This window comes from Homo sapiens, chromosome 10, assembly GCF_000001405.40.
Source record: "Homo sapiens chromosome 10, GRCh38.p14 Primary Assembly".
Classification (NCBI taxonomy): Eukaryota; Metazoa; Chordata; class Mammalia; order Primates; family Hominidae; genus Homo; species Homo sapiens.
The window spans coordinates 95,958,359-95,980,975 of NC_000010.11; the positions used below are offsets into that span (position 1 = coordinate 95,958,359).

Genomic DNA, 22,617 nt, shown 5'->3' on the forward strand with positions numbered 1-22,617 from the left:
GTGTGCACCTGTAGTCCCAGCTACTCTGGAGGCTAAGGTGGGAGAATTGCTTGAACCTGGGAGGCAGAGCTTGCAGTGAGCTGAGATTGTGCCACTGCATTCCAGCCTGGGTGACAGAGTGAGACTCTGTCTCAGTAAATAAATAAATTAATTAATTAATTAAATAAACCACATATAAACAAAATGGAAGTAACAATAAAGAGATAGAAAATTGAAAAAGAGAATGAAGCTGAAAAGTATAATTGAAATGAAAAAGTCACTAGAGAGATTCAAAGGCAGATTACAGCAGGCAGAAGAAAGAATTAGTGATCTTGTAGATAGGACAATGTAAATCATTGAATTTGAGCAACAGAAAGAAAAAAATATTGAAGAAACACAAACAGAGCCTAAGAGACCTGTGGAACACCATTAAGTGGACCAACATATTCAGTGGAGGAGATTCAAAAGGAGAAGATAGAGAGAAAGAAAAGAAATTAGGATAAAGGGTAAGAGGAATGAAATAACAAAGAGATAAACAGAAATTAATAATAAAACCATAATAGAGAAAATCAGTACACTCAAAAGTTGGATAAAAATTGATAAACTCTGGGAAAGCTGATCAAGTGGAAAAAGTGAGACAGCACAAATATACAATGTCAGGAAAGGAAAAGGAACATTACTATAGATGCTGTATATTTTAAATAACTTTATGCTAAAGAATGTAAACATTTATATGGAAAAGACAAATCTACACAAAATACAACTAATCAAACATATTCAAGAAGTGAAAGACAAGAAAAAAAACCTTAAGTAATTCAATAATTGTTAAAGAAATCAAACCATTAATTTGAAACCTTTCTGCAAAGAAAACTCCAGGCTCAGATGACTAGAGTACTTTCTAGAACGTTTAAAGCAGTGGGTCTCAAAGTATGGTCCCCAGACCAGCATCATCACCTTCACCTGGGAGTTTGTTAGAAATGCACATTATCAGGTCTACCACAGACCACTGAATCGGGAACTCTACAGGTAGGGCCTGGTAATCTGTGTTTAGCAAGCCCTCCAGGTGATTCTGATGCACAAAAAAGTTTCACAACCTCTTATTTAATGATAACTACTATTCTTCACAAACTCTTTCAAATAAAAGAAAAAGAGGCTACATTTTCAGCTCGTTTAATGAGGTTACAGTATCCTTGAAATTAAAACCTGGCAACTGTATCAAAATATTGCAACTGAATTTCACTCATGAGCATAGATACTAATGTACTAAACAGAATTTTATCAAATAATACATTATAACCAAATTTGGTTATTCCATACATTATAACCAAATTTGGATTATTCCAATTTGGAATAATCCAAGGAATGCAAGGATGGTTCAACATTAGAAATTAATTAGTGTAACTTAACATACTAATACAATGTGTTGATTAGTGTAATTTAACATACTAATATAATGTGTTTGCAAAGTTATGAAACACAGAAGAAACTTTTTTAAAACAGTATGTTACTTCAGTATTCTAAAAATATGATTATTAGCCTATTAGGCAAAGTACCTCTAAATTTGAAGCAATATTCTAATTGTTAACCTGAAAAAAGTGTAATAAATACATTATACAATTTCCAGAAAATCTGGAAATATATGGAGAATAGTGTATTTATTTTATTATTTTCTGATTAATAATTTGATCCATTGCTTTCAGTTTAGAGGTACTTCATTCAAATAGGTGTCAGGAGGTTGAAGAAAAATTGAGCATGTGAAGACCCAGAACACTTAAGCAGTTTTCTTAAGTAAGTTGGAGAACCACAGTTAACACTGGGCTTGTCTGACTCCAAGTATCTTGCTATCCTTTCTACTGCATCACACTTCTTATGGCATTTACTCAAAATGACCACACTCCTTTAAGTATTCTTGTTTCACACTTCAGCTATGTGAGTGGATTGGGAGGTAATGGAGGCTTACAAAAAATGTTGGTAACATTTACAATATACACCTGTTATCCTGAAGTACCCTGAACCTTGAAATCACACAGGGAAAGAGACATTGAATGACTTATTACAAGTGTGATGAATATTTAAAAGGAAAAGCATGAAGAGATATAAGAAAATTTAATTTTGTTGTGGGGGTTTTCAAGCAAGGCTGTACTGAGGAAGTGATATAAACTGAGTTTTGAAATACATATTTTCTTTTTTTTTGAGACAAGGTCTCCCTCTGTTGCCTGGCCTGGAGCTCAGTGGCACAATCACGGCTCACTGCAGTCTCAACCTTCTAGTCTCAAGTGGTCCTCCCACCTCAGTCTCCTGAGTAGCTGGGACTACAAGTGTGCACCATCATGCTTGGCTAGTTTTTGTAACTTTTGTAGAGACAGGGTTTCACCATGTTGCCCAGGCTGGTCTTCAACTTCTGGGGTCAAGTGATCCACCCCACCTTGGCCTCTAAAATGCTGAGATTATAGGCATGCACCACCATGCTCAGCCTTGAAATGCATATTTTCTATCTTCATGCACTTTAAGTAAGAATCCCTCCCCAGCACTTTCTTAGAGTGACTCAAACTCTATGGTGCTAGGCTACCACCATCCTTTCCCATCAAGACCTCTTGAGATTTTGGCATCCTTAATCTAAGCCAATCCCTCACCAGTGGCTTTGGAACCGTCCAAATAGAACTTAGGTGGCAAAATAAAAGTTGTGGGAGCATCATACTGCACCAAAGTATTGGAAGGGACATGCAGCAGCTGGTTTGCATCTTCTTTTTTGTAAATAGTGAAGTGCCAACCAGAAATTAACTAAATCCTGAATAGATAGCAAGCACAATTATCAAAACGTAGGGGCTTTCCACTCCCTTTCTTTTATTGCTCCTTTCTTCCACCATTGCTCTTCTCTCTTTGGTACTTCAGAATCTTGTAGCGTTCTGGCAGGGCTCAGTGGCTTACGCTTATAACCCCAGTGCTTTAGGAGGCTGAGGCAGGCAGATCGCTTGAGGTCAGAAGTTTGAGACCAGTGTGCCCAACATGGTAAAACCCCATCTCTACTAAAATATAACAATTAGCCAGGCATGGTGGCACATGCCTATGGTCCCAGCTACTTGGGAGACTGAGGCAGGAGAATCACTTGAACCCGGGAGATGGAGGTTGCAGTGAGCTGAGATCGTGCCATAGCACTCCAGCCTGGGCAACAGAGCGAGACTCTCTCAAAAAAGAAAAAAAAATCTCGTAGAATTCTAGCTAGGCTATTTCCTTTCTCAGAAGCATTTGCATTTTAGCAGGGCACTTTTGAATAGTGAAAAGCCATTAAGTCATAAAGGAACAAATTTCTAATGGAATTGCAGTGGGTAACATAAAATATAGTAAGATGGCGTTCAGATGTGTATAAAATGAAAAGAATAAGGTGGGGAGGGAGTTCAGAAGAGTTATTGCAATACATTCTTCCATGCCACTTTTGAAGGCTTTTAGTTCTAATCCACTGACAAATTTTTGCTCTGCCATTTTTGTTGTAGTAATACAAAACAGATGTATGACTTAGAAAGGGGAAAGGACCTCTCCCTACTACACAGTATATTACGAACTTGGAAACAGATTAAATCTCTTCGACATGGGCAAGGGTTTACAAGCACCCCAATAAAGTTACAGGTTCAGAGGTAAGTGGCTGCTCTATTTGCTCTTATTGGTCTCCTGAGGAACTTCTCATGAATAACTGGAAATTCACAGTGACTAGGAAGACATCCAGAAGCTAGGCAACTATTCCATGTAGTCAACAAAGAATTTGTATCTTAAATACATAAACATATATATATATATATATGCATATATATGTTGAATATATAAAGTGGAATTCTTACAACTTAAGAAAACCCAATTAAACATGGGGAAATGATTTGAACAGACACTTCACTCAAGAATGTGTATGGATGGGAAATGAACACATGAAAAGATGCTCAATATTGTCATGTCATTCTCTATTGATTTGTCAATAGAGAAATGCAAATTAAAACCAGAAAGAAACAGTGCTACACACCTATTAGAATGGCTAAAATCCAAAACTAAAGGAAAGAAAAGACAAGACATTAACAAATGCTGGAAAGGATGCTGAGCAATAGAAACTTATTCATTGCTGATGGGAATGCAAAATGGTACAGCCACTTTGGAAACAGTTTGGCACATTCTTATAAAGTTAAATGTGGAGCCAGCAATCATACTTTAGATGAAACGCATTTTAGATTATTTGATAAAATCATAAAACCATGTCTTATGGAGGAAATAATTCAAACCCAAACACTTAAGCTGTTTGTGAACTCACAGGGAAATAACTAATTTTCTCCCCACAACCCATTGTCCTGGGTCTTTTGGTTTTCAAAAGTATGAAAGGTTAGTATAATTTCAGGCAAATAAGAAAAATGTTTATTTTGTTGATTTTTTTTTCTTGCTGCAGTAGTTTTTTTTTTTTTTTTTTTAACAAAAGTGCTCTGGACGGTTTCTAAACCTAAACCCAGCATTGAACTTTATCTTAGACTCCTAAATTAATGTAAATGTAATGACTTGCTTCTAATCCTTTAAACCAACCTCACACACCCATGCATCATGAATCCCTGAGCAACAAAGAGGAGACACAGATGTCGTAGGGTTACCCAGAACAATGGCTCTGGACCCATATTGCCTGCTCACCACTAACTCTTGTTGCCACTATTCTGAACTCCAGCCCCACCTGAGGCCCTTTGTGTTTGTTCTTCCTGACATTCAACTTTTCCAGCTGACTTTGGCTTCAATTTGTCTCTCCAGACTGCCTCTCAGCTAAATACCACACTGTCAGTCACCAGGCTGGCCCCAGCTGGGGTAGCCCCAGTGACCCTAAATTGGGGCATTTAGTTTAAGCAGTTAAAAATATCATTCTGATCAATTGGAGAAGCTATCTGTTTGAAGATGTTCCTCGGAACTGTTTCCTGGCCAACTTTACCACTATTGACCTCACAACATACCTGGTCCTTGTGAGCCCTAACTGAATAAACTTGTAGCTAGGCTTCCTGGAAAGATAGTACTCATGATAAGAAGGCCTGGTACCTAGACACTGAGCTCAGGTTATCATTTCGTCATGTATTTGGTTTGGGGCATGTTGAAGTTGATATGCCTTTGAGATATCTCTAAATAAGGTAATTGAGTGGGCAGCTACGTGCATGGTCTGTGACACAGTAAATAAGCATAATTGAAGCCATGGGTGTGCATGAAACTGCCTAGGGAGAAGGCAGAGAATAAGATGAGGAGAGACCCCAAGCACTGAGTCTTGAGAAATTGCTTTGAATGGCATGGTAGAGGAGGAGAAACCAGAGGAGGGACAGAGAAGCACCCGTTAGAGTATTTTGCCCCAGAGGCAAGGAAACAGGAGTATTTTAAGTAGAAGGAAGTGGTTAGCAGTTATTATCAGTGAAGTTCACTACTAAAAATGTTCACTGGATTTCCTGACATGGAGGTTATTGATAATCTCAGCTAGAGCAAGTTTTATAAAGTTACAGCGGCAGAAATGAGGTAACAGGAAGTTGAGGAGATAGCCCTGTCTTCTCGTTCAGGTGGCAAACTCTCCTTGTTAACTGTTAGCAACACTGCATTCAGCTTAGAGAGACTGGGTGGGTCAGTCGCTATAGATGATAGATTGTATTTTCTTCTGCCCCTGAACCCAAACTACAGCACTGGCAAATAACACAGAGAATCCAGATTTCTTATATTGTCTTCACTTGTGCTCTCTGTTTGGCACTGCCTACCTGGAGAAGATTCAGATAACTGCCAAAGAAACTTAAAATGAGAAAGAAAGTGCAAGCTATGTAAGCAGGAAATGCAACAACATTTGATAAAATAGCATCAGGACCTTCATCATTTCCCAGAGTCATTTGGCTCAGAATAGAAAGGAGGAAGCTATAGACCCTGCTTCAATAGTTTCCCTCAGAAGAAAATCTGGGTATAACACCTATTGTCTAAGTTACTCGTAACACTTATTCCCCAAATTATTATAGATTGAAATCAGTTAGGAATTTCTAAAAATGACTGTTCTAATTTAATTAGTATGGGGTATGGTCTGGACATCATGAGTTTTAAAATGCTTCCCTGGTGATTTTAATATGTAACAAAGGTTAAAAGCCATTGTATTAAAGAACAGCAAGTTTACTGATGTCGTATTGATTGCCCTGAATCCGAAGAAAATAATAATAATATTTATTAAGTGTTTGTTTTACTCCAAGTCCTGGGCTGAGCACTTTACTTAAATTAGTGCATTTAATCCTCACAACAACCTAATTTTCAGATGAGAAAAGTGAGGCATAGAGTTCTTAAGGAATTTACCCAGATTCTGCAGTGCCATTAATGGGGCTGGGTTTTCAGCCCAAGATACTACCATATAGATAATATCTGCACTTAGTCCCCTATATTCTATTTCAGAAGGCAAAAAGCATATAATACCTTTTAAACAGCTCTCTTGAGATATAATTCACATACCATATGGTTCACCCATTCAAAGTCTCCAGTTCAGTGGTTTTTAATAAATTCCCAGAATTGTGCAACAATCACCGCAATTTAATCTTAGGATGTTTTTGTCACCTCCTAAAGAAACCATCTTCCCATTAGCAGTCACTCCTCACATATGCAGACATAGGCTTTTCTTTCTTTTGGGTATATGAGTGGAATTGCTGGGTCATATGGTAACTCTGTAGTTAACATTTTTGAGGAACTGCCAGACTGTTTGCCAAAACAGCTGCACCATTTTACATTCCCAACAGAGCATGTAATATTTTACCAAAGGATTTCCTTCTTAAATGATTAAAATGGAAAACAAAACCTTATACTGAAAACAAGAAATTTTTACACTATCAGAAAAACTTGACTCCTACATCAATAATTTTCTGACACTGTTCAGATAACTGAGATTTTATTGAACTACTAATAAAAGAGGAATAATAGTACTTACTTCATAGGGTTGTGATAATTAAATCAGTCAATACGTGTAAAGTACTTACACTATTGCCTGGCACATACTTAGTAAGTACTATATAAGGATTAGCTAGTAGTAGTAGTAATAGTAGTAGTAGTAGCAGCAGCAGTGGCAATAGTGCTAATGCCATGAATTGTTTACTGTTTATGCATAAACACCAACTATGATTTACTACTTAATATCACCATGATCACCTGCCCTTATACCTGCTCAGGTTCTCACAGCTTAAAAAATATGAGAGAAAGAAAAATGAGAGGAAACAGGGTATGTGTCCTTGAATATTTATCTCCCCATTCCCCTGTTACTTATTCTCACCAGAGGAAAGGTTTCTTGATGCCCTTAGAAAGGGCTGTAAACACTAATGGTAAATTTACTGAGTAGGGAGAAATATCTGAAAGCCGAGAACAAGCTTATAAAGTTTTTTAAATATTTATCAAATTGGTAATTTCCTTAGAATGTAAAATTACTTGTAAGAGATTGGTTTTGTGTGTGTGTGTGTGTGTGTGTGTGTGTGTGTGTGTTGGCAAAATCTCGAACAACTCTCAAATACCTCCATTATTTCTGCTTTCAATAATTCTGTTTATTATTAATTAGGATTAAAATGAATAAATGTGATGAACAAGAGCAAATCTCAGAAATGTCTGAAACTGAGAAGAAAAATGAAGGAAAAGAACTTAAGAATGGGAAAAAACTGGAGGTATTTATATTGCAAAATAACATTAAACTCAACTAGTTATAATATTTTATTTTTTGATAGAATGTGAAATCTTGGTATTTCTAAAAGTTATCCAACAAACTGACAAATACAAGAAATAAATGAATTTTAAGAATAAATGTCCTACACAGGGATGTACATGGCAAATCATATATTTATTTTTTGATTTCTAGAGCCTCTCATATCTAGCTTCAGACGAAACAGAAATTGAAAGAATAAAGCCAATTACCTTGAGGCCACAACTTTCTTTCACTGCAGAATTAACAAGCTTATCCAAGTGTTCCTTGTAAGCATGTTTAAATAATTATTTATTTATTATATATTGTCTATTAATTGGATTGTTTTTAATAATAAAGTGGGATTTCTTGGGTGAGTACCATATGCCAGGCACTCTAAGTTTTTAAAAACACATTTTCATATTTAATTGTCACCATAACTCTATAGAGTTCCATATTATCCTCATCTTAAAGAAGGAATGTAGCTCATGGGAAGTTAAATTGCCCAGGTTCACACATCTAATACATGCCTGAGGTGGGACATAAACCAGTTTGGTGTTCTATAGAAACTGTGATATCTTCACTGCTAGTCTTCATATATTGATAATTTGCAGGGTTTTTTTGTTTTGTTTTGCTATGTTAGTAATTTTCGTTCAGGTATAAATAGGTGAGATATAAAGGCACTGTAAAAAGTAATATACCATTGTCTTTGCTTGTTAAAGGAACTCTGGCTCTCATAAAAACTATTTCACATCAAGAGGGCCCCCTAAACAATTTTCTTCTTTGACATTACAAACTTCTTTACTTCACAGTTGTGATTTCTTCCTTGAGCTGTAATGTTTTCTCTCTATGCCTAGAACATTATGCAAAAACAGACATCATAGGTAACCCCATTTCTCCATCTACTAGGCCTATGGATCCCATCTCCCTTAAAGAGGATATGGCAACTTAGAGTACTAGGTCTAATTTTTCAACATCTCTATCCCATGGCACACTTGGTACCAGTCCATCATTGAGTATTGGGAATGTGCATCATTTAGCAGTGTTGGAAAATACTGGGTAATCAATAAATGTTTATATATATTAAATGAGTGAATGGATGCTTACATTAACAACCAAAAGGGCAGCAGACACAAAGTCACAATTATCACCACCCACTTTCTGACCAGAGAAGTGCAGCAGTGGAGAAATCCTTTATTTGTTCTGTACCTTCTTCCAAAAAGGGCCTGAGATACTTTATTATGTAGGACACCCATATAAAAAGACTATCTAAACAAGGGGAAGAATACAGGAGCCATAAAATGAAAGTTGGAGGGAGAGAGAAGAAAGAGGAGGAAGAAGATATTTGTGCTGGAAAACCTAGACTAAAACTTAGTGGAAGTCAAGGCAAAAGGATGTATGGTGTTTTATATCTTTGCAAAGCCATTGCCATCCGATAGCATTGCTGTCATCTATTTAACACACCCAGTAGAATAAAAACTCATTCTCCAGAAAAGAATAATATGTCGATATAGAGGATAGAAGTGAAAAGAATACAGAGATTAGAGAAAAATTAAAAAGAGTTTACAGGTGAAGAGAAAGGCAAGATTTCCTGAAGATAATTATAACCCTGAATAAACAAATTTTTAAAATCAATTCAACAAACTTTTAAAATCAAATTCAAATTTTTAAAATCAATACTTTTAGAGGGCAACAGAAAGGGTAACTTTTACTTAGATATTTCTTGAAAGGTAATTGGGAATATGGTCGAAAGAGGCCAACAGGGAGATAAGAATAGGTAATCTTTTGTCCCCTAACTCTTTGAGAAGGTTACAGAGATGGACAGATAATAAGGCAGGGACATACTGGGCCCATAGGGTGATTAGATTGGGGAGCAGAAGGGGATTTTATGTTTCAACTTAGGGTTTATCTTCCACCCAGCCTTCTCCCTTCTGAGAAAGAGGGTCAAGTCTTAAACATCATTAGATCAGTTCTCTTGCCACTAGGAAAATATTCAATAAACATTGGTTGAGTGAATTAAACAACGAATGAAAGACTCTAGGAGTTTTATATCAGTCAAGGGATCAACTTATGCCTCAACAAGTGTTTCCCCCAGGGAAGTAACCTGGCTTGCTCCTTTGATCTTTGGGTTCAGAGATAGGGTGGCCTCCCCACTGTCCTGGAGAAAAGGGGTACACAGCCTAAAGCTTAAGGTGATTTACAAAGACCTTTAAGAGGACACAGCAAGCCTGTTGCCTTAGAGCCACATCTTTGAAGTTATTGACAACATGGTGTGTGGAGGGTTGTGTGTTTGTGTATATAGTCTATGTGTGTGTCTTTTTAAAGTTAGGAAATATTTTTAAATTCTTGATTCAACCTCCCCTCCCCATTCCCAAGCCCCTCAGTTTTTTCCTCTCATAAGACATCTGGTAGATATGTGCTGTAATCTCTTTAAATTGTAATTTAGTAAAATAAGAGCTGAATGATTTATAGGACCTTGATTTTAGTTCTATTTTTGAATACATATTTTGAGTACATCTCTTTCATTAAAAACATTTGACTGGGAAGAAGAAACTTTTATCCACATGTAGACAAGTGTTATTTGATGTAAAGATAACATTTGTCCTCTGAAATTATCTTCTGTTTAACATGCTAATATACATTTTGAAAGAACAATATGTTATGTCTGTTGTACTTTTTAAGGGTGATTTAAAGGTTTGTTTAATTTTTAGGCATGAACAAAAAAGAAGAGCCAAAATTCAGAAGCTCAAATACTTTATTAAAATATTTTACAACAATAAACAGGTTTCTTGTACTTCAGTATCTCCCCTACAGTTTGATTTTAAAGTCATGTTTCAGCAAATTTTCAATATTCAGTTAATGTATTGGCCTGAAGTGATTTGTTTGGAGGTATGCCATTGTCATTTACTTTTGTATCTTATTTTATGCCATACATAATTTAAAATTTTTTGTTAGCTACAGTTATATGTGATAAGTAATTTCTTTGATGTTAAGAGATGGACTGATCTTTATGTGTAGATGATAAGATATTTATAAATGTATAATTCACCACTAGTCTTTTATGCTGTAAGTACAAAGTTATTTGATTTGTAGTGTTCCAAATACTCGTCTCCTGCTAAAATTTCTGCACCCCTGGATGTGCAGCACTACTATTCATTGCAATGAGGTGGAAAAGTGCTGTTTACAGGATAATGAGTAGCATAGCTATTTTAAGTGTTGAATGATTTCTATAATACGAACTTCCACATTCCTGACTTGGTGGCTTCAGTCTCTTGCTGTATTTGTTCTTCCTCCTTTTTTGGATTTTTAGATCCCTCTAAGAATCAGATGAAAGAACATACACACAAAAGACCCCCAGTCTCTGTGCAAAGATCCCACTGTAAGAACCCCCACACTAATGGAAGAAGAAAATAGGATGATGGAGAAAAATGAGAGACAACAAACGAGTCTAGACAAGAAGTCCTGGTGGCTAAAAATGGGGTTAAACTTAAAGCTAGACTTGAAAAAAAAATTAGGAGGGAATAAAGATTTGTGTGTAAGAAGGGAGGTGCTTGAGGAGTAGGGAGAGAATTGTAGTTACATATATAAATCACAATTATTTTTATAATGTCGAGAATAATTTTATTCTCTCCTGATAGATGTTCTATTCATTATTCATGTATTCAGGTTTCCACTCTCTTACAATGTCCCTCTGTTGAAATTCCTACATTAAAAATATGCCTACTTTCCACACTGAATTCCTAATACAAAAAAAAAAGAACTATACTTTCTTACTGTTGTCCCTAAAGTAAATTGTGATATAATAATCCAATCACTTGAAGTTTAAAATCTGCCTCCCCAAATAGGTAAATGTGTATTTTGAGTCCTTTATCATCCTATCACTTAGCATATGAGCCTAACAAACTAAGAGGCAGGGAGGGAGAGGAATCTAGTTAAGAGATAAATTCACCATTAGCAAATGCAAAAATTGCAAAATAAATCGATATGCCCTAGCCTAACAGACTTTAACCTACATTTTTAATTCTTTTTTTTTTTTTTTCTAAGATGAAGTCTCACCCTGTTGCCCAGGCTGGAGTGCAGTGGTGTGATCCCAGCCACCACAACCTCCACTTCCTGGGTTCAACCAATTCTCCTTCCTCAGCCTGCCAAGTAGCTGGGATACAGATGCCCACCACCATGCCCCGCTAATTTTTGTGTCTTTAGTAGAGACAGGATTTCACCATGTCGGCCAGGCTGGTCTCGAACTCCTGACCTCAAGTGATCTGCCTGCCTCAGCCTCCCAAAGTGCTGGGATTGCAGGCATGAACCAACATGCCCCGCCTTTAGTTCATTTCTTACTACTCCTCCTTATTCATTCATCACTTCAGCCAAACTGAGCTGCTTGTCTTTTCCCACACGTGCTTGTAATTTCCTACCTCTAAGCTTTTGTACATGTTAGCTGCTCCGTTTAAAAACGCCCATTTTCATTCTGACCACTTTTAAGATGCTCAATCTCATCGCATCATGGTGTTGACAGTTGTCAGGGGACAAGACTGGCTCCTAGGAACCCTCAACTGATAAAATTCTCTATCTCAGTACACTTACCTTGCTGTCCAGGGGCTGGCCTCCAGCCTGTAGTCCAAGAACCTGGGTTTGACAGTCCACTGAGAATCCATCCTACATACCCTAAGCAAATTCACAAGGCTGAAGTGTAAATGCCAACTCAACATTTGAATATATTTATCAGTTCATGTTCTCTGAAAGTTAACCCATTTACTGATTTACAATAAGAAAGTTATTTCACAGAGCTACAACTCCTACAAACCTTTCTGCAGTAGGGATGCCTTTGTCAAAGGGACCAGTGTGGTGTCTTAAATTCTCTCTTACAAGGAAGTAAAACCAGATAACTAGAAAAAATATGTGCCTCTTTGACTTTCCTTTTTCTTTGCTTTCTTGGCTAATAAGTCATCACTTTGATTGGCACATTCTTTCTTATCTTTCAAGGAGCAATTTTCCCCTCTGATTTCCTTCTTAGAGCTCATATCACTGTTTTCCCAAGCACTGACAACACAGTATAAGTCAAAATAAGATTTTTTATTGAAAAAAGTTTGCTTAGACTGGGTGCAGTGGCTCACACCTGTAATCCTAGCACTTTGGGAGGCCAAGGCAGGCAGATCACCTGAGGTCAGGAGTTCGAGTTCAGCCCGGCCAAAATGATGAAATCCCGTCTCTACTAAAAATACAAAAATTAGCCAGGTGTGGTGGTGGGCACCTGTAATCCCTGGTACTTGGGAGGCTGAGGCAGGAGAATTGCTTGAACCCAGGAGGCGGAGGTTGCAGTGAGCAGTGATTGCACCACTACAATCCAGCCTGGGCAACAGAGCAAGACTCAACCTCAAAAAAAAAAAAAAAAGAAAGAAAAAAGTTATAGTTATGGCAGTAAACTTATATGGAATTGTAGTAAAAAACACACCATATAGAATTAGAAGACCTGGGTTTCATGCCCAGTGAACCTCTATGGGACTGTCTACTCAGCACCCCCTTTTCCTTTCTTCTGGAGCTTTTCCTCCCTCACCACTCCCATAGCTTGTTTAACTCATCCTTGAATTTCATGACCAATCACTACCTTTTTCCTAAGCAATTCAACCTGAGTCTCAACCACTTATAATAAAAACAAACATATTTTCATATACAGCTTCCATTTCCTCACTTATAAAATGAGAATAATATTTATTTCCTATAATTTTTATCAGATTTACATGAGATAAAGAATTTTTAAAGTGCTACTCAAAATTGCTATGATATTATGTTATATGTACCTCATATATTTATTCTCAGAACTGTATTCATAATCCCTTGTATTCAATTCATTTTCTATGGAGCCAGTAAAAGGCATTACACTTTCAAGGACATGACTGGCTGCTTTTCTCATAATCATGTGGATGAAATGCTATAGAGCAATACTTATTTTATATTCTGGTATTTAAAAAAATATATGTTGTTAAGGGTGCTTATTTTTTCCTTTTTCTGTGTTGTATTTTTAGTGATCTATCAGCCATTTCTTTTATATTTAGGTTTATGAAAAAAGTAAAAGGACAAGCTTACTGGCAAAACTATATATACCTTTACCTAACTACACAGAGCTGAAAGGCAAAACCGCTTTGCAATATGTAGAGTTTAGCTCTGATAAGCTGGTCATGCCTGCCGATGGAGAAGTAGGAAGCAGTGAGTTTATTAAAAATATTACATTCCCCCTATTTTCTTCCTGAGTACCATATTCCTAAGTGACCCTGGCTCACTCACATAAGTACAAAATCCTGTATTTACAATATTCTTTTTTGTTTGTTTGTTTGTTTGAGACAGAATCTCACCCAGGATGAAGTGCAGTGGCTCGATCTCAGCTCACTGCAACCTCCACCTCCCAGGTTCAAGCAATTCTCGTGCCTCCAGTAGCTGGGATTACAGATCCCTGCCACCACGCCCATCTAATTTTTGTATTTTTAGTAGAGACAGGGTTTCACCATTTTAACCAGGCTGGTCTCAAACTCCTGATCTCAGGTGATCCGCCCCCCTCAGCCTCCCAAAGTGCTGGGATTACAGGCGTGAGCCACCGCACCTGGCCCTGTGTTTATTCTGTTAAAAATGAATTAAATTATTCATTCAGATGTTAAACTAGATTGTTTAAAGTTTTGTCTTGGGTCAGATTTTTGGGAAATTTCAAATGAGCAGTTAGCACCCACGCTTTTTGCAGGCCATCCAAGGCAAGGACAGAATGCTGTCTGGAAAGCAAGCTCTGCTTTTGAGTGGGCTGGCTGCTCTGCCTCGACCTCTCCTTTAGTGAACCTACAGGTGCTCGCAGACATATGGGTTTGTCTTTGAACTGTATAGGGAAGGGAAGAAGAAAATGAGGGAGGGAAGGAAAGAGGGAGGGACAGAGAAAAGGAGAGAAGAAAGAAGGGATGTTTCTGTTAGTTGTTTTTCAATTGATTTTACTCCTCTTATACGGTTAAATGTAAGTTAGTGCGTCTCTGAGATCACTGTCATTCCTCTCCTTCTCCCCATTATTCCTTTCTTTCACCTTCCTAGGGGTTTGGAAACTACTTGGGCCTATTTGGTGAAAAGTAAGGAAGTATGAACAAGTGAGCAAGGAGGAGGGGGCGGGGGGAAATGGGCAGAGAACGAGGGAAGAACGGAGTTTGCTTCAAGTCCAGATGAAGCAGAAAAATAAGCTTATGGAGACCCGGGACAAAAGACTCAGGACTCAAAAAATTTAGGGAACACTGTGCACTCAGCAAAAGTTTTAAGAAGTATTGTTAAACTCTTTGGAGATTAGATGCAGAAGACTTGGGAATGTAAGGAAAGAGGAGAAAGAACAGCTTGCTGGCCTCTTTTTCTGCTGCCAATGGTCCTTTCTTGCTGGAAGCCACTCCCACAGAGAATGGTTAAGAAGCCTCCAGGCATGAAAGGAAGAAAATCATGATATTCATCTCTACATATTCATCTCAATCTTTACCTTCTCTTTTGTAGTCCTTGAAGGATCTTAGAGAGGAGATGAGGGAGAGCACTAAGATAAGAGTGGAGTTAGGGCCGGGCGTGGTGGCTCACACCTGTAATCCTAGCACTTTGGGAGGCCCAGGCAGGTGGATCACCTCAGGTCAGGAGTTCGAGACCAGCCTGGCCAACATGGTAAAACCCCATCTCTACTAAAAAATACAAAAAATTAGCCAGGCATGGTGGTTGACACCTGTAATCCCAGCTACTTGGGAGCCTGAGGCAGGAGAATCATTTGAACCCAGGAGGTGGAGGTTGCAGGGAGCTGAGATTGCCCCACTTTACTCCAGCCTGGGCATCAAGAGCAAAACTCTGTCTCAAAAAAAAAAAAAAAAAAAGAGTGGGGTTAGCACAGATCTTCCTTTGTGTTCCTAGAGTTCCACAAGTAAAACTCAGGAAAAAACCCACAATGTGCTTCAACTGCACTTAAAACAATTCATATGTTTTTAATGCCTTTTATAAACAGATGTGCCTTTTCTTCTTGAGGGAAATGGAACTGAAGAACTCTGTCTTTTGACATCAGGAAAACTTAGCTATTCTCTATCATGGAGCTTAGATGAAAATGGTCTTCCTCTGATACCTATGCCACAATCATTAAGATCTTCTTACTGCAGGTAATAAACTTTTATCTTTGAAAAATAATGCCAGGTCTCAGCAAAGCATCACACAAAACATATTATGTGTAAAAGAGAAAACTTGAGCAGCAATAGGAAGAGTTTAGTCTATTTGAATGTTGATTTATCTTTTATTTAAATCACTCTACTAAGGCAGTATGTGTATTTATATGTAAGAGAATGTGTCCCTTCAGTGCTTGGAATTATAGCCACACAGATGATGAGAGAGGCATTCCCAGAGTCCCTCACTTGTAGGCAAAGGTCAAGACTCCCAGGGACTTTATTTCTGGGGCCTGTATATCTCCCAGTCATTCTGGATTAGCAAAGAATCATTTATGCATTATCATCATTCTGGGAGTTCCCAGAAGGGTTGGGGTTAATTTTCAGATTAATTATTTGTGGGATTACTAGAAATAAGTACAGTAAATTCTATGAAAATGATGATAATGCTGGCTTCCATAATGTGCTATGTTTGAGGGAAATGGTAAATATAAAGGAAAAAGTTTATTTCATCATTTAAAATAATGAACAATGATAACAAAAAGATATCCTCTCCCCTCCACATCTTAACACATATTTTTAAAAATAAACGGAAATGAAAAGCTTCATATAACTTATGGCATTCTAGAAAGGGCAAAACTGTGGAGACAGTAGAAAGATCAGTGGTTGCCAGAGGTTCTAGGGGGAGATAAGAATGAATAGTTGGAGCACACGGGATTTTTAGAGTAGTGAAACTATTTTGCATAACATTATAATGGTGGATACATGTCATTACACAGTTGTCAAAACCTACAGAATTTACAAGACCAAGGGTGAACCCTAATGTAAACTATGGACTTTGAGTGACAATGATGTGTCAATGTAGGTTCATGGATTGTAAAAAAAGGTACCACTCCAGCGAGGGATGTTAACAGCTGGGGAGGCTGTGCATGTTTATGGGGATGGGGTACATGGGAACTCTCTGTGCCTTTTGTTCAATTTTGCTGCAAATCTAAAACTTCTCTAAAAAATTATGTTTTAAAAATATTATAGTTTTGAAAATTGTTATACATAACTGGATTAAATGGAAAATCAAAACTGAAATTAGAGACTGTTTAAAAAAGAACAGGGAGAACATTATATATAAAAACCAGTAGCATATGGCCAGAGTCATAGTAAGAGTTCATAAATGCTTTTCTTCGGTACATAAGAAACAAAGAGAAAAAAGCTAAATGGCAGTAGCACAAGGAGATCGTTGGTATGGACGAAACTGACATAGTGGGGGTAGTTTACTTACCAAGGAGTTTGACAATAAAAAAATGCTAAAAAATAACAGAAGACAAAAGAATCAAGGTACAGATTTCTTAAAAATTGGGGCCATATTTATCTTCTTAAAAGAAGTGATTAAAAGTGATGAGCTTACAAAAGATTGAAATCAGTGGGGAAAAAGACCCAATATATTGGAAAGAGTATAAGGTCCTTCAGAGTCAGGAAGGTATCAAACCAGAACCCAAGTGAATAACTGTGGTTCTGGAGAAGAGAAACTCTCTCTTCCTCAACTCAGGGAATGGGACAGTCATCACTATGAAAACAGAAATGGAACTTTGATGGATGTCCTTGTTTTGCTAAGTAAATGAGGTCATCTTCTTAGAGACCTGGAGAAGGTCATTTTAAGAGCAAATCTTACAGTTATTAAAGGTAATTCATTTTGGAGCCAGTGGAAAAGTGTTTAATACCTAGAACTATTATTTTGTTATATTTCTTAATATTTCTCTAGCATAGTCTCCACAGCAGCTATTCCTAATCTTTGCCTCATCATAATATTGTTTGCATTTTTCTTGGAGTGAGATGTTTGTCCTCCTCACTCTGAGGCTAACTTTTATGCAGGTAATTTGCAACTCTCTTTTACAATTCTACAGACGCATTTATATCTTTTTCTTCCATTCAACTTGTCCATCTCCCTAGGCTGTTGGTCTTTTGTACCCAAAAGCCTTCTTTGTTTTAAAACAAACAAGCAAAAACTCAAGCACCTGATTAAATCCTGAAGCCCATTTTGGCTAGATTTTTCCTGCCAGAGTTCTCCTATGTGTGGCCTACTGGTCTGCATACATTCCCTCCACTTTCTGCTCACCCATTCCCTTCCTAATCCTACCCACTTGTCACTGAAGGTTACCAGCAAGTGACCTTCAAGCCATATTCATTGGCTTGTCTCCGTTGTCTTACAATTCCTATTACTTGGAAACTCAAGCTTACAAAAGATTGAAAACAGTTACATGCAAGAGTGGGACAGATGACAGGTTTCAGCAGGAAGTAAATTGCAAAAGAGGTTTTCAAAGTCCAGGGCCCTCTCTAAGTCAAACTTTACAATTAGAGGAAGTTACAGAACTTTCCCACAGTTTTGTTGTGGCAGCTCAAGGACTGGCTCTGAGCAGTAGGTTCTAGGAATTGGGATGGGTGCTCCAGAGGGCAGGACTGACTTGTGGAAGTCAGAGAATGAAGCCAAAGGAGAACTGAAAGGCAGTTTTGTTACTCATTCATTCACTTACTCATTCATCAAACACTGACTGAACTGTAGATAAAGTAGTGAACCGAAAGAGAGTCTCAGAAAGCTTTGATGCTTTTTTTTGTTTAAGACAGAGCTTCGCTCTTGTTGCCCAGGCTGGAGTGCAATGGTGCAATCTCGGCTCACTGCAACCTCTGCCTCCCTGGTTCAAGCAGTTCTCCTGCCTCAGCCTCCAGAGTAGCTGGGATTACAGGCATGCGCTACCAAGCTCAGCTAATTTTTGGTATTTTTAGTAGAGACGGGGTCTCTCCATGTTGGTCAGGCTAGTGTCAAACTGCTGAACTCAGGTGATCCGCCTGGCTCCACCTCCCAAAGTGTTGGGATTACAGGCATGAGCCACCGCACCCAGCCCAGCTTTAGTGCTTTAATACCACATTAAACACACCTCTCCAGCTGGGCGTGGTGGCTCACCGTGTAATCCCAGCACTTTGGAGGCCAAGGTGGGCAGATCACCTGAAGTCAGGAGTTTGAGACCAGCCTGGCCAACATGGTGGAGTGGAACCCCATCTCTACTAAAAATACAAAAATTAGCTGGACATGGTGGCACACGCATGTAGTCCCAGCTACCCAGGAGGCTGAGGCAGGAGAATCGCTTGAACCTGGGAAGCGGTGATTGCAGTGAGCCAAGATCATGCCATTGCACTCCAGCCTGGTGACAGAGTGAGACTCTGTCTCAATAAACAAACAAATCAGAAAACCAAAAACAAACAAACAAAAAAAACACCACACCTCTCTAACCTAAATGATCGTTGTCTAGAGTTTTCATTTTTAAACATGAAACAGTTTTTCTTACACACACTAGTTAATGAAATTTTTAACATAGTTCATTGACTTTTATGTTTACCTTATTTCTTATTTCCCATCCTTCATTCTCGATTTACTTTTCATGCTGAAAGCATGCTCCTTTAATGATTCTTTCAGTTAGTTTCTATGGATAGCAAAATTCTTTAGCCTTTCTAGATCTAAAAGTGTCTTTATTTTGCCCTCATTCTTAATAGTTTAGGTGAGTAGAAAATTTGAGGATGTTATTTATTTCCCTTTAGCACTTTGAAGCTGTTACAGTACTGCATTATCTTGTGGGATTTATCATTGCTATTTATAAGTCTGCTATTGGTCTAAATGTTGGGCTTTTATAGGCTATCTTTTCTCTCTGATAATATTGAAATATTTCACTTTAATTCAGAGACAGAAAGTGGAATAAAGGTTACCAGGGATGGGGAAGGGAGAAATGAGGAGTTATTTTTTAATGTGTACAGAGTTTCAGTTTGGGATGAAGAAAAAAATTCTGGAAATAGGTAATGATGATGGTTATACAGTACCGTGAGTATACGTAATACTACTGAATCATACACTTTAAAATGGTGGTAAATTTTATATTATGTATCTTTAACCTTAATAAAAAAGGAAGAAACTGCCATTTGAGCCATGAAAAAAATTTTGCTTTATCCTTAAAGTACTGAAATTTTACTATACTGTATATGTGTGGATTTATCATTATTCTTCTTCCTGCTTAGCAGAATAAATTTCATGTTTAAAGCCTCACATCTTTCATCAATTACAGAAACTTCTCAGCCACTATTTCTTCAAATATTACTTCTTCCCCATTCCCACTCTTCTCTCCTTCAGGATTTCTTATTGAATTTGTATTGGAGCCTCTTGGTCTATTATTCATTTATTTATTTTTGAGACAGGGTCTCACTCTGTCACTCAGGCTGGAATGTAGTGGTGTAATCATAGCAGCCTCAAACTCCAGGGCTCAACAACTCTCCTGCCTCAGCCTCCCGAGTAGCTGAGACTGTAGGCAGGTGCCACCACATCCAGCTAATTTTTTTCTTGCTTTCTTTGTTTTCTTTTTAAGAGATGAGGAGGTCTTGCTATGTTGCCCAGGCTGATAAACTCCTGGGCTCAAGTGATCCTTTCACCTTGGCCTCACAAAGTGCTAGGATTACAGGCCTAAGCCACTGAGCCCAGCCAAGCCTCAGCCTATTAGCCACATCTCTTACCTATTATTTCACATTTTTATGTTTTTATTTCATCTGCATCCTGGGTGAATTTCTGCGTACTATTTTTTAGTTCCTTAATTCATTATTCAACTTTGTCCAGTATAAGGTTTATTTGATTTTTATGTTATAATTTTTACTTTTATTTTCTGCTGCCAAGTTTTCTGTTTGATTCTCTTTCATATCTACATTTTCTTATTTCATTTTGGCATTTTGTTCCATTATTTCTTGCATTTAAAAGTGAATTATTAGTTTTCATTTGCTTTTACATCGTAAGCATACTTCATTAAAATGTGTTTGGCAGACTTTCATAAAATGAATTTCAACTAGAATTAATTTATGTTCTGATAGTTGATAACTGTTGATTATTTTTCTGAGCATGGCTTCTTTGCTCAGAAGTTTTGGTTAGCAGTGTCATTTTGACTTGAAGAACTTTTGGGTGATTTTGATTTATACGTTTCTGGGTTTTTGGTGTTTTTTTTTTTTTTTCCTCTCTCTCCTTCTGTATCTACCCCTCCTTACCTAATGGTTCTGAATTTGACTTCATCTGTCCTCCTAAATCCAGAAGTGGGCTGTAAGCCTACTTACTGGATAGGTTGGGAGATTGGGTTGTTATACTGGGTTGCTACTGGAGTCATCACAGATCTAGGTATCTGGTGAGCTGTGAGCCTGGTTCAGTTCCTCATTATGGGGCAGTGTCTGTGTCCTTTTCCCTCTCTAGACTCATAGCTTTCTAAAAGCCATGGCCCCATGCAGTGGTCAGTATTTTTTTAAAGGTCTCTTTATCTAAGTAAAGTTCCCCCCAGATCTTTGGCTTAAAATGATAAGCCTGGTGCTAGTTCCCTGTCTCAGGAACTGAGCCCACAACCACCATGGACTGCTCCTAGGCCTGAAGCCCAGCAAGCCCACAGTGCTATCCCCACTCACCACTCTGCCTTTCTTTTCCATTTCTGGTTCACAGGAATGTTTATCTTAGCTCTCAGCACAGTTATATTTTTAACTATTTTTTAACATCTTTATTGAGATACAACTCACAAACCATAAAATTCAGCCAATTAAAACATGCAATGCAATGGTTTTAATATATTCACAGGCTTGTACAACCATCATTACAATCTGGAAATGGATGGTGGTGATGGTTGCACAACATTGTGAGTGTACTTAATGCCACTGAATTGTGTATTTTAAAATAAAGTGGTAAATGTTATGTATATTTTACCTCAATTTACAAATGTGGTGGCTGTGGCCTTGCATTTGGGTGTATAAGCCAAGGTCTTGGGGCCTGCTAGAATTAAAGCTCGCCTCTTTCTTGGGGCCATGCTATACTTTGATTCTTTTGTCAGAAACAAGATGTAAATGTCAGGGCTGCATTAGATAGACAACAACCAAAGAGTTTCCCATGCCTTTTATAAAGTACTGCTTCCAGCTCTCCATCACCAAAGTAGAAATCTTCAATCGAAAAGAAGAGGGAGGGAGGAGGAAGGAAGGAAGGAAGAGAGGAAGGGAGGGAGGGAGGGAAGGAGGGAGGGAAAAATCTTCAATCATTTGACTGGTTTTGACCCAAGAACAGCACTGCTGTGAGCCATAGCCTACAGCTAAACGTGTATAGGAGCAGCTGGGGGAATCATTGTAGCAAGGCTCTGAGATTTGTATTACTTTCTCTGAGGCAGAAACCATGGGACTATGTTGAAATTCAATTACAACTTTCTTTGTTGTTTGTTGTTGTTGTTGTTGTTGTTGTTAAAGGATATAACGGGAAAAGTTTCTAATCTATTCGTTAAGATTTAAGCTTTACCTGAGGCTGTCTTCTAGGTGATCTGGGCTAAGACTGTTTCAAGAAGGAAAATTTATTACATGATGGTGTAAAGGGTGTCAGGTCCTAGCGATCTCTTATGACATAGATATCAAAACAGTTCAAAATGAGGGCAGACATGGGAAGCAAAAGAAAAGAAGAATATGCAAACTTCACCTGTTCGTAATTTTCCTTACATCTTACCATACCACACATTGGCTTTTGCAGCAATAGCCTCAGAAGAATCATCAAAGAAATATGAACAAATGGGAAGGAGACAGTATAAAATGTGTGCTCGTGTTTGGGCTAAGACATTGTTGAATCCGTGTCAGAACTGTATTTCTGGAATCCCAATTTATAGACAGGAACCTTTCTGGACTACTTTATAGAAAGGATTGTAGAAATTTGGATTGTAGTCCAAATTTCTCTAGTTACACATGATAAGACAAATTCTCTATGAAGAGACAGATTAAATAGCTGGGATA

General features: G+C 37.8%; 1 protein-coding gene and 1 long non-coding RNA gene across 20 annotated transcripts in view; one reads left to right on the forward strand and one right to left on the reverse strand.

The window, feature by feature from the left end:
- ENTPD1-AS1 (ENTPD1 antisense RNA 1) overlaps positions 1-22,617 on the reverse strand; it is a 337,030-nt gene that overhangs the window by 205,153 nt on the left and 109,260 nt on the right. The gene's annotated exons all lie outside the window — the stretch shown is intronic.
- The window catches only part of CC2D2B (coiled-coil and C2 domain containing 2B), a 126,075-nt gene that overhangs the window by 50,688 nt on the left and 52,770 nt on the right, over positions 1-22,617 (forward strand). For 18 of the 19 annotated variants that reach the window (XR_002956979.2, XR_002956978.2, XR_002956977.2 and 15 more), the window contains 6 exons: positions 3,471-3,611; positions 7,538-7,640; positions 7,832-7,944; positions 10,366-10,543; positions 13,708-13,858; positions 15,651-15,798. Coding sequence is in view for 15 of the 19 variants with exons in the window: in XM_024447995.2 (XP_024303763.1) it covers positions 3,471-3,611; positions 7,538-7,640; positions 7,832-7,944; positions 10,366-10,543; positions 13,708-13,858; positions 15,651-15,798 (834 nt within the window). In the remaining 4 variants the exon portion in view is untranslated. The remainder of the gene's footprint in view (positions 1-3,470; positions 3,612-7,537; positions 7,641-7,831; positions 7,945-10,365; positions 10,544-13,707; positions 13,859-15,650; positions 15,799-22,617) is intronic. The other variant, XM_024448004.2, reaches the window with a different exon arrangement.